At 47.2% G+C, this 11,557-nt stretch overlaps 3 annotated features.

The window, feature by feature from the left end:
• Positions 2,662-2,711: a silencer, noted in NCBI's record as "silent region_193". NCBI's record gives its function as "represses an Ori minimal core promoter by ATAC-STARR-seq in GM12878 lymphoblastoid cells {active_cell/tissue: GM12878}" and the evidence as "EXISTENCE:reporter gene assay evidence [ECO:0000049][PMID:35858748]".
• Positions 2,752-2,801: a silencer, noted in NCBI's record as "silent region_192". NCBI's record gives its function as "represses an Ori minimal core promoter by ATAC-STARR-seq in GM12878 lymphoblastoid cells {active_cell/tissue: GM12878}" and the evidence as "EXISTENCE:reporter gene assay evidence [ECO:0000049][PMID:35858748]".
• Positions 9,301-9,501: a silencer, noted in NCBI's record as "peak46 fragment used in MPRA reporter construct". NCBI's record gives its function as "represses an SCP1 promoter by STARR-seq MPRAs in K562 erythroleukemia cells {active_cell/tissue: K562}" and the evidence as "EXISTENCE:reporter gene assay evidence [ECO:0000049][PMID:32103011]".

Raw genomic sequence — 11,557 nt, 5'->3', positions numbered from 1 at the left:
CCCCATCTCTACTAAAAATATAAAAATTAGCCACACGTGGTGCTGGGTGCCTGTAATCTCAGCTACTCAGCTGAGGCAGGAGAATCGCTTGAACCTGGGAGGCAGGGGTTGCAGTGAGCTGAGATCGTGCCACTGCACTCCAGCCTGGGCCACAGAGTGAGACTCCATCTCAAAAAGAAAAGAAGGACCTGAGGAGCTAGGGGGGCCAGCCAGACTGACGTGTGGGGAAGGTCACGCCAGGCACTGGGAAGAGCAAGTGCAAAGGCCAGGGGCAGAAGTGAGCTGGGCTGAGTCCAATAATTACGGATGAAATAATTATGCAGCTGGTAGTGGAATAATAACCCCAGGGAAGCGCTGCAGAGTGGGGGCACGGGGCCCTGTGGAAGTTTACCGCGGCGGATTCCACCCCATTGGGAGGGTCGAGGGCTCCTCAAGGAGCCCTACCAGGCCAAGTAGAGAGAACAGCATGTCCCACACAGAGGGCTCAGAGAGCTCTGCACTGGCAGAGCTCCGGAGGGGAGAGGGCCTGGAGGCACACTGCAAAGGAAGTGGAGGGGGACAGGGATGCAGAGGCCTGGGAAGGAGGTGAGGGCTGGGGAGGTGGGACAGGCCCAGGTGTGGCCTCTTAGGCAGTTGCCAGTTTCTAAGAGCAAAGAGAAGCCTAGAAAGGTTTTATGTAGGGGAGTGGATGGCATGAATCCTATTCACAGTTAGCAAAGATCATAAAGCTCAGAGTGAAAACAGATTGGAGGGAACCAGGGGACCACATGGGCGTACCGGGTGGCACAGGTGGGAGAGTTGGGGGTGTTGGTAGAGGGAGAGAGGTGATGGACTGGCCGGGGACTTAGGACTCCATGATTGACTGAAGGTGGGGGGGTACAGGAACAGCGAGGGTGGTGCTAAGAAGTTTCTAGCTTGAGCGATGAGGGAAGAGAGTGGATTCATGGAGGCCAAAGCAGGTGTGTGCTGGAGTGAATGCCATAGGTTTGCTTTGGGATATGCTGAGCTTGAGGGCCTTCGCAGCCTCTAGGCCACCAGACACTTGGGTCTGGAGCTCAAAGATGCTCCTTTATGAGTCCCCTGCACATGGGAGCTAATTGCAGGTGAACTGTGGACCTCGCACTGCCAGGGAGAGGCGCAGGGCAGAGGGCCCCAGAGGACACCATGGGAATTTCAACAGATCCTGCCCAGGCTGAAGAGAAGGAGCCACTGGAGGGGGCTGGTTCTGGCTTCTTTTATCTCTATAACAGGGTAACAGCTTGAAAAAAATACCGATGTCCTTTTCTATTTTGCATGCAAGTGGCCTGCCATCAACTGATGAGCTTCAGCACCTCAGGGACTTAATGCAATAGAAGCTTACTTCCACATGAGGTTGGCAGAAGTGTGCCTGATGGGTGGGGACCTCTGTGAAGCCATTCAGGGATCCCGGTTGCCTCCATCTTGCTCTGCCCTGGTGCACTGAGGGAGGAGCCCAGGTGGTGCCTGCCCACGGGGCCAGGTGTGCAGGAGGCCCACGTTCCACTCGAATCCCATTGGCTAGGACCCTGCCACACAGCCACACCGGCCACACCCAACCCACAACAGGGCTGAGAGATGGGGCCCCTGTCCCCAGGAGAGGAGGAGATGGGGGTGGGGAGTTGCTGGCTTCAACTGCTTCTGTAACTTTTAGCTGCTTGCAGAGGGGAGAGAAGATGGGGAATGCTGAGAAAACTTAAAGATCATCTCGAGGTTCTGATGTTCACAACGGGATTTTGCAACAAGAGAAGAGGTTTGAAATCTAAGCATTGTTGAGAAAGAAAGGGATTTTGAAAATTCCTTTGACCTTTTTTAAACTTCCAAAGTGAGAACCTTCTAAGGCTAGAGCTTTTGCTTTTTAGCCCCTCCAAGTTCAGGGCAGAGAGCAGTGTTTCTCCCTGGGGGCAGACAAGATTTCTCCTGTCTCGACAATAGGTCTAGACTGGGGGCCAGAGTGGAAGGGGCTGACAGAACATGCAGGAAAGACAAGAGACGCTCGCCCTTCCGGTCCTGGGTGTGGGGGAAGGATGGCAGAGGGAGGAGGGAGAGTGAGGGGGAGGAAGGTGCTTGGGGTGCATCCCAGCTCCTTTCTCCCTGCGCCTCAGCCCTGTCGTGGCAGAGTTTGCTCTGGGCAGAGCCCCCGTACACCAACACAGCGGCCGCAGCCCGGCTGGGGGATCAGAACAGTGGGGGCTCTAATTTGCCCTGTGAGGCTCTTGTGGCTCCCATTCAGTGCCTGGATGCAGAGCTGAAGCTGCAATGGCCCCGTGGGGCTGGGACATGACGTGGGGTGGGGGGACCCTCAGCCTCACTGTGGGAAGGACAGTTGGGCCAGGTGGCTGGGTGGGGGGACTTTGGCAGAGAGACCTGGAGGGGTCTACGGGGCCAGCCAGGGCCCCAGGGAAGCAGGAGCCACACCAACTCCACGCCAGGATCTAAGGAAAACAGGGGACTGCTGCAGCCCTGCCACGTACACGGGGACCGGCAGGCAGCCAGGAGGACACAGGAGCCCCATCCACTGCCCCAGCCCAGAAAGGAACAGAGGATGGAGACAGGACATGCACAGTGTGAGCCTAGAGAGACCCAGTCGGACCCAGAATAATAGGCTCCAACAGTGCAGAGGAGAGCTGGTGTGAGGCGGTGGAAGCCTGCTCACCTGCCATCCCTGGGTGTCCACAAGGTGGTGGAAGAGTCCCACCTTTCCCGGGAGGCAGCAGGAAAACCTCGGAGCAGGAGGTGGGGAAAGGGAGAAGCTTTTCCTGACCTTGTAAAGATTCTTGGTTCTAAGGCTGGATTTTTCTTTCTACTTTGTGAACACACTTTTTCTGCAAAGCATGAAGCCAAGTGAATTTTTATGAATAACGTTATTTGTGATAACAGATCTCGTGCTAGTCACTGTGTTAAGGTGTTTCCGTATTTTAACCTCATGTAGTCATCATAGCTTCAGGAATGGGCATTATCTCCACCATTTCTTTTCTATCCAGAAGCCTGAGACTTGGATGGAGTGGGGTCATGACACAGGCAAGGTTGGAGCGGGAGAGCCTCCCAGGCCTTGTGGTCATTCCTCCATTCGTGCAGCGATTATTTATACAGCATCTACCGTCCTCTGGTGCGGGCGGGAGGTGGGATTCAGAGATGGCATCCGAATCCCCTTGGTCATGTTCTCAGTCCTCAGCCTCCTCAAGGGACTGTGCCGTCCCATTGTCTCTACCACCCCTGCCCATCCCATTCCCTGACTTACAACGTGGACAGCTTGTGGCTCCCAATTCAGATCTGAGCAGTGACAGACATGGGTGTGCGTGTGTACCTGTGTGTACAAAGTGTGTGCTGTGCAAACATAGAGAAAGGTGCATTCTCGGCCGGGCATGGTGGCTCACACCTGGAATCCCAGCACTTGGGGAGACTGAGTCAGACAGATGGCTCAAGCCTAGGAGTTCAAGACCAGCCTGGGCAACACAGTGAAAGCCTTTCTCTGCTAAAAATACAAAGAATTAGCCAGGCGTGGTGGCGTGCACCTGTAGGTAGTTCCAGCTACTTAGGGGGCTGAGGTGGGAAGATCACCTGAGCCGGGGAAGTCGAAGCTGCAGTGAGCTGAGACTGTGCCACTGCACTCCAGCCTGGGCAAGAGATCTTGTGAAAAAAAAAAAACAAAAAAACACGAAGTGCATTCTCTTATGTTATCTGGAGTTAATGAATTATTAGCGACCTGCAGTCAATATTGCTTCCCTCTCTTCAGATAGCCTCTGTGGCTCTGACATGATCTAGACTCATACACACACACAAGCATGCACACATATGTGCACACATGCTCTCAGATATGTGCACATACATGCACACATGTGCACACACACACACTCTCATACTCTCAGATATGTGCACACACACACACACACGCTATTCCTATTGCCACGCCTCCTCCTGATGGGAGCCCAGCAGCCACCCTGAAACTCTGAGTTAGAATCCAGACATTTTGTGTCCATATGAAGAAAGTCACAAAATTACAGTCCTGTAATGACAACACATTGCAAACTCCAGAGGACAGGGCCATCCAATTCTTTTTTGGCACCTCCTGCAACACCTGGCAGAGGCCGAGCACTGACACCCACATGCTTATTTACTGTACGTGGAGTAGGATCGGTTGAAGTTGCGCGATTTACCCGGGCACACACGGGCACACTGTGGGATAAAACAGATTGTCCTGGGCTGCCCTGGGCATGCCGGTGAAACTCCATTGAACCATTTCTGCAGGAAAATGAATTCTGATTTCCAAACGTATGTCCTTCTCATAACGTACTTGTGGAAGCAAACCCTGGACTTTAGGTCTTCTGGAAGAACTGGGGCAAGGGGGAATTAGAACCTACAGGGTCATGGTTGCCCTCTGAGCTGAGCCAGAGCATGAACCCAGGGTCTAGACGTTGGGCAATGCTGGAGCCAAAGGGTGTTGGGCCGCCGAGGTTCTAGAACTAAGGTGGTAGAATCCAGGCATGGTTGGCACCCAGGCAGCTGCAGCCTCCCTGTTCGTGGGCTGGGTAAAGCCTCATTGGGTCACACAGTTGCCAAATAAAATACAAATACCCAGTTAAATTTGAATTTCAGATAAACAGAGAGTAATTTTTATGCTCAGCATGTTCCAGGCAACATTTGGCATTCTGTATTCTGATTTGCTCCACTTGGCAACCTTATCGGGACAGCTCCAGGAACCAGGCAGAGGCAGCCACTAGAGAAGCCCAAGGTCCTCTGAGGCTCAGCCTGCTGCCCCATGCCTGAGAGCCCCCCCTCTGCTTCTATTTACAGTTCACCTGTGAGAACAGTCAACACCCAACATCCATAGAGAAGTCCCAGCCAACATCTGCTTGGGTCTGGAAAGAAGCAACTGCCAGACAATATGTGGCCGGGATCTTTAAAGTTCGAGTGGCTTTTGTGTTTTATCTGTTTGTTCAATTTATTAAAATTCTGAATCGACTAACCAGAACTTTCTAAACACTTAACTACTCATTATGCAACTAATAAAAGCATGAACATTTCAAATTATTTTAATCTTTGATCTTAACATCATGGATTATTAAACTTTTATATTATGAAATATGATGCAGAAAAGTGCACAAAACAAAACGAACACTCAATGATTTATCACACACGTGCAACCACCAGCCAGGCCTAGAATAAAATAGAATAGAATATCCCTAGAAGCCCTCTTCACACCATCCATAGTGCTAAGCCTTTCTCCTCTCAACCCCTGCCGAGAGCTCATCCCTATTCTGGCTTTTATGTTCATTGCTTTCTGGCTTTTTTCTACAGCATGTGTCTTAGTTTGGATTCCCCCAAAAGCTGTTAGTTTAGTGGGGAAGTGATCCCAGGAAGCAGAAAGAGAGTGAGACAGGGAAGAGGGAAAAGCTAATAAATTTATGAATGACCAAGTCTTCCATGTAAGTGACCGAGGCTCAGTCCAGCTCAGAATCTATTTCTCACAATCTAGAGGCTGAGAAGTCCAAGATCAAAGCATGACAGTTTCAGTGTTTGGTGAGGGCCCAATTCTTGGTCCATAGATGGCCATCTTCTCACTGTGTTCTCTTACCTGGTGGAAGGAATGAGATAATTCTCTGGGGTCTCTATGATAAGGGCACTAATCTCATTAATGAGGGCCCCACCCTCATGACCTAATCACTTGCAAAAGACCTCACCTCTCCAAATACCATCACATTGGGAATTAGGTTTCAACACATGAATTTTAGGGGGACACAAACATTCAAGTCTATAGCACCTTATTATTGTCCTGCTGGAGGGTAGGGGAGCTGGGGCATGTATTTACCAAATTCTGGTTGAGAGCTGCCCCTGGGGGTGCTAACTGCCCTGCACTTGCAGTTGCATTTGTTGGCAACTGTATTAGCTCAGCTGCTAAAACAAAATACCATAAACAAGGTGGCTTAAACAAGAGAATTTATTTTCTGACAGTTCTGAAGTCTGGAAGTCCAAGATCAGGATGTCAACATGGTCAGGTTCTGGTGAGGCCTCTCTTCCTAGTTTGTAGACGGCTACCTTCTTTCTGTGTCCTCACATGGTAGAGAGACAGAGGGGGAGAGAGAGAGAGAGAGAGAGCAAGCAAGCTCTCTGGTGTCTTTTTTTTTTTTTTTTTTTTTTTTGAGATGGAGTCTCACCCTGCCATCTAGGCAACAGACCTAAGCAGTGTGTTCAGTGCAACTGAACAACTCTGATGCAAGCTCCATGTTTCCTGGTGGACTGGAAACTGTGCCATCCACACAGCGATCCTGAAAGCTACAGTGTCCATCCTTGAACTGTAAGGTTTAGTTTAGCCTTAACAAAAAATACTGTATATAAATGGAATCAGAAGTATGCATTCTCCTGTGTCTAGTTTCTTTTGTTCATCTTGACTTTGAGAGCTTCTGTGTTGCTGCATGTAGTTCTAGTTCATTTTCATAACTGTGTGTGTTCCATTACATGAATATACCTTCCGATATTTATCCATCCTCCTATTGACAGACACTTGGGCTTGAGGCTTAACACTCTTTAGGGTTGATATAGATAATGCTGCTATGGACATTGTTATACACATTTTTGGTTTATGGATGTAGGCATCTCTGTTGGGCATATACCAAGAGGTGGCATTTGGGGGTAAATACGTGTTCAACTTTAGCAGGTAATGTCAGTTTCCCAAAGGGTTGTACTAATTTACACTCTCAGCAGTGAGTGTAGCTTACTCGCTTACACAATTTGATATTGTTCGTCTTTTACTTTCTTTCTTTCTTTTTTTTTTTTTTGAGACAAGATTTTGCTTTGTTGCCCACGTTGGCATGCAGTGGCACAATCTCAGCTCACTGTAACCTGCAAGCTCTGCCTCCTGGGTTCAAGCGATTCTCCTGCCTCAGCCTCCCGAGTAGCTGGGATTACAGGTGCATGCCACCACGCCCGGTTAATTTTTGTATTTTTAGTAGAGATGGGGTTTTGCCATGTTGGCCAGGCTGGTTGTGAACTCCTCAAGTGATCCTGCCGCCTTGGCCTCCCAAAGCGCTGGGATGACAGGTATGAGCCACCGTGCCTGGCCTTGTCTTTTACTTTCAGCCATCTGGTAGATGTACACTGGTTGTTAATGACAGTTATAATTTACATTTCCCTACGAGTAATGAGGTTAAGCACTTCTTCATGTTTATCAACTGTCTCAGTATCTCCTCTGTAAAGGGCCTGATCATGCCTTTTGCCCATATTTCTATTTAGTTGTCTGTCTTCTTTATTGATTTATAAGCATATGTTGATGTGTTGTGTATCTGGATACAAGTCCTTCACACGTTGTTTTTTTTTTTTTTTTTTTTGATACAGGGTCTCGCTCAAATTATAGAAAAATAGCACATCTAAACATGAAAAGTAAAACAATAAAATTTCTAGAAGTTGACATAGGACAATATATTTATAACCTTGAAGTAAGAAAATATTTCTTAAGTAGGGCAAAAAATACCATACAATTGATCAACTGGACCACATTAAAGTTAAGAACTTGCAAAGGGGCCAGGAGCAGGGGCTTACACCTATAACCCGAGCACTTTGGGAGGCTGAGGCGGGCAGATCACTTGAGCTCAGGAGTTTGAGACCAGTCTGGGCAATATGGCGAAACCTTGTCTCTACAAAAAATACAAAAATTACACCAGGCATGGTGGTGCGTGCTTGTAGTCCCAGCTACTCAAGAGAGCTGAGGCAGGAAGGTTGCTTGAGCCTGGGAGATCAAGGCTGCAGTGAGCCGAGATTGCACCACTGCAGTCCAGTCTGCATGACAAAGTGAGATCCTGTCTCAAAAAACAAACTTTAAGCATTTTAGAACAATACATTGATTTGAGAAGAACTGAAACTTTTGCATATTTTCAATCTATGAGCATTATATATGGATCTCCAGCTATTTAAGTCTTTTAAAATTTCTTTCAATGATATTTTATAGTATAGAGGACATAGGTACAAAAACTACAAAAAGTAGCCAGGCCTGGTGGTACGTGCCTGTAGTCCCAGCTACTCAGGAGGCTGAGGCAGGAGAATCGCTTGAGCCCAGGAGGCGGAGGTTGCAGTGAGCCGAGATCGCGCCACTGCACTCCAGCCTGGATGACAGAGCCAGACTCCATCTCAAAAAAAAAGAAAAAAAAATTAAAATTAAAAAATGTAAAACCCACAATTTCATTGTGGTAAATTCTTGTATTTATTATTGAATGATTTGCTTTGCTAACATTTTTCAGAGACTGGCCTGCTGTAATTTTCCCTTTTAGAAATGCCCTATCGGGTTTTGGTTTCAAGGTCATGCTTGTCTCATAAAACAAATTACAGAATGCCTCCCCTTCCCTCCCTTGATTTTCTTCTCTTTCCAGGTAGGATTTGGGTAAGATTGGCATTATATTTTTGTTAACTGTTTAGAAGAACTCATCAGTGAAGCAGCTGGGACCAGAGTTTTCTTTGTGGAAAAATTTAAAATTGTGAATTCGATTTCTTTAACAGTTATAGGCTATTCAGATTTTGTATTTATTTCCCTCCTTCCTTCCTTCCTTCCTCCCTTCCTTCCTTCTTTCCTTCCTTCCTTTCTTCTTTTTTTTTTTTTTTGCCTCACTCTGTTGCCTAGGCTGGAGTCCAGTGGCACAATCTTGGCTCACTGCAACCTCTGCCTCTTGGGTTCAAGCAAAAGTATTTTTTGGTAGAGATGGGGTTTCTACCAAAACCCTACCAAAGCCTACCATGTTGGCCAGGCTGGTCTCTAACTCCTGACCTCGAGTGATCCACCTGTCTTGGCCTCCCAAAGAGCTGGGATTATAGGCATGAGCCACTGCGCCCAGCCAGATTTTATATTTCTTTTTGTGATAGATTGGTGATATGTGTTTTCCAAGGAAATTGTCCACTTCCTCTTAATTTTAATTTTGGCACAAATTTCTAACCTTTTAAATGTCTATAAGAGCTGCACGGTTGTTTATATGATGGGCCGAGCTGTGTCCCCACAAAATTCGTACATAGAAGTCCTAACCTTCAGTACCTGACTGTATTTGGATCTTCAAAGAGGGAATTAAAGTACCTTTATAAGAAGGGGAGATTGGGACACAGACAAACACAGAGGGAAGACCCTGTGAGGACACACAGAGAAGATGGTATCTACAAGCCAAGGAGAGAGGCCTCAGGAGAAACCAACCCTGCTGATAGAGCTTGGCTATGTGTCCCCATCCAAATCTCATGTCGAATTGTAATTCCCAGTGTTGGAGGAGGGACCTGCTGGGAGGTGACTGGATCATGGGGGCGGACATCCTCCTTGCTGTTCTCTGGACAGAGTTCTCAGGACAGCTGGTTGTTTGAAAGTGTCTAGCACTTCCCCCTTGCTCTCTTGTGCTCCTGCTATGACCATGTGAAGATTGTGCCTGCTTCCCCTTCGCCTTCTGCCATGATTGTACGTTTCCCCAGGGCTCCCCAGAAGCAGAAGCCTGTACAGCCTGCAGAACCATGAGCTGATTAATCCTCTTTTCTTAATAAATTATTTAGTCTCAGCTATGTCTTGATAATAGTGTGAGAACAAGCTAATACACCTGTCCACATCTTGATCTCAGACTTCCAGCTTCCAGGACTAAGAGAAATAAATTTCTGGTTGGGTGCGATGGCTCATGCCTCAGCACTTTCGGAGGCTGAGGTGGGCGGATCGCTTGATCTCAGGAGTTCGAGACCAGCCTGGGCCACATGTTGAAACCCCAAAAGAAAAGAAAAAGTGAAAAAAAGTGAAATAAATTTCCATTGTTTAAGCCACTCAGCCTGGGGTACTTTGTTATGGCAGCCCTAGCAAACTCCTAATATTGATTACTTAGGAGTGAAATTTACTTAAGACTTTCTCTCTTTTTTCTTGATCAGTCTTGCCAAGGGTTTATCATTAATGTCTCTTCAAAGAACCAGAAACAGGCCAGGTGCGGTGGCTCATGCCTGTAATTCCAGCCCTTTGGGAGGCCGAGGTGGGCGGATCACCTGAGGTCAGGAGTTCGAGACCAGCCTGGCCAATATGGTGAAACCCTGTCTCTACTAAAAATATAAAAATTAGCCCGGAGTAGTGGCAGATGCCTGTAATCCCAGCTACTTGGGAGACTGAGGCATGAGAATCACTTGAACCTGGGAAATGGAGGTTGCAGTGAGATAAGATCACACCACTGCACTCTAGCCTGAGCAGCAGAGTGAGATTCTGTCTCAAAAAACAAAAAACAAAAAACAAAAAAAACAGAAATAATAATAATACAGATAACATGTTCATCCTCTATTTTTATGCTTATTTTCTACTTCATTAATTTCTGCTTTTATCTGTATTATTTTCTCCTTCAGCTTTCTTTGGATTTAATTTGCTGTTTGCTTACTAATTTCTTAAGCTGAAAGCTTAGGTTGTTGACTTTCCAGCCCTTCCTCTTTTCTTTCCTTTTTTTTTTTTTTTTTTTTTTGAGACAGGGTTTCACTCTGTTGCCTGTGCTGGAGTGTAGTGGTGTGATCTCAGCTCATTGCAGCCTCGACCTCGCAGGTTCAGGTGATCCTCCCACCTTAGCCTCCCAAGTAGCTGGGACTACAGGCACGAGCCACCATGCTTAGCTAATTTTTTGTATTTTTGGTAGAGACAGGGTTTTGCCGTGTTGTCCAGGCTGGTCTTGAACTCCTGGGCTCAAGTGATCCTCCCTTCTAGGCTTCCCAAAGTGCTGGGATTACAGGTGTGAGCCACTGTGCCTGGCTGACTTCCTCTTTTCTTTTCTTTTTTCTGTTCTCTCTCTCTTTTTTTTGTTTTTGAGACAGAGTCTCACTGTCCCCCAGGCTCCAGTGCAGTGACACCATCTTGGCTCACTGCAACCTCTGCCTCCCAGATTCAAGCGATTCTCCCGCCTCAGCCTCCTGAGTAGCTGGGATTACAGGTGCACACCACCATGCTTGGCTAATTTTTGTATTTTTAGTGGAGACGGGGTTTCACCATGTTGGCCAAGCTGGTCTTGAACTCCCGGCCTCAAGTGATCCGCCCGCCTCAGCCTCCCAAAGTGCTGGGATTACAGGCGTGAGCCTCCACACCCAGCCTCTTTTCTAATATAAGCATTCCAAGTTGAGTTTCCGCTAAACAAGACTTTAGATGTATCCTACACATTTTGATACATAGAATTTTCATTATCATTGAGTTAAACATTTCAGCAAGACAAACAAGTGAAAAATAAAATTGAGAGGTAGCATTGTGGGCCTGGGGCTTAGCTACATTTAGAAACATGGATTTGGATATTAAGAGATGGATTTTGGTCAAGGGAAACAGACATTATTTTCAGGTTCCACTCTGCTGCTAACCATTGTAGGTGGAACAGGGCAAACTGAGAGGGTCCCTCGACTCGCTAACTTCCATTTAAACACTCTCTGTACCCCGTTCTCTCCTGCCTTGGCCTCTTTCTGCTCTTAGACTTGTATAACCAATCACTCACTTGTTTTCTTCACTTAGATTTTTTTGTTGTTGTTTTTTTGTTTTGTTTTGTTTTGAGACTACGTTTCACTCCTGTTGCCCAGCCTGGAGTGCAAT

This window comes from Homo sapiens, chromosome 1 (genome assembly GCF_000001405.40).
Source record: "Homo sapiens chromosome 1, GRCh38.p14 Primary Assembly".
Classification (NCBI taxonomy): Eukaryota; Metazoa; Chordata; class Mammalia; order Primates; family Hominidae; genus Homo; species Homo sapiens.
Note: the sequence above shows the minus strand (reverse complement) of the source record. Positions and strands in the feature narration are given on the sequence as shown.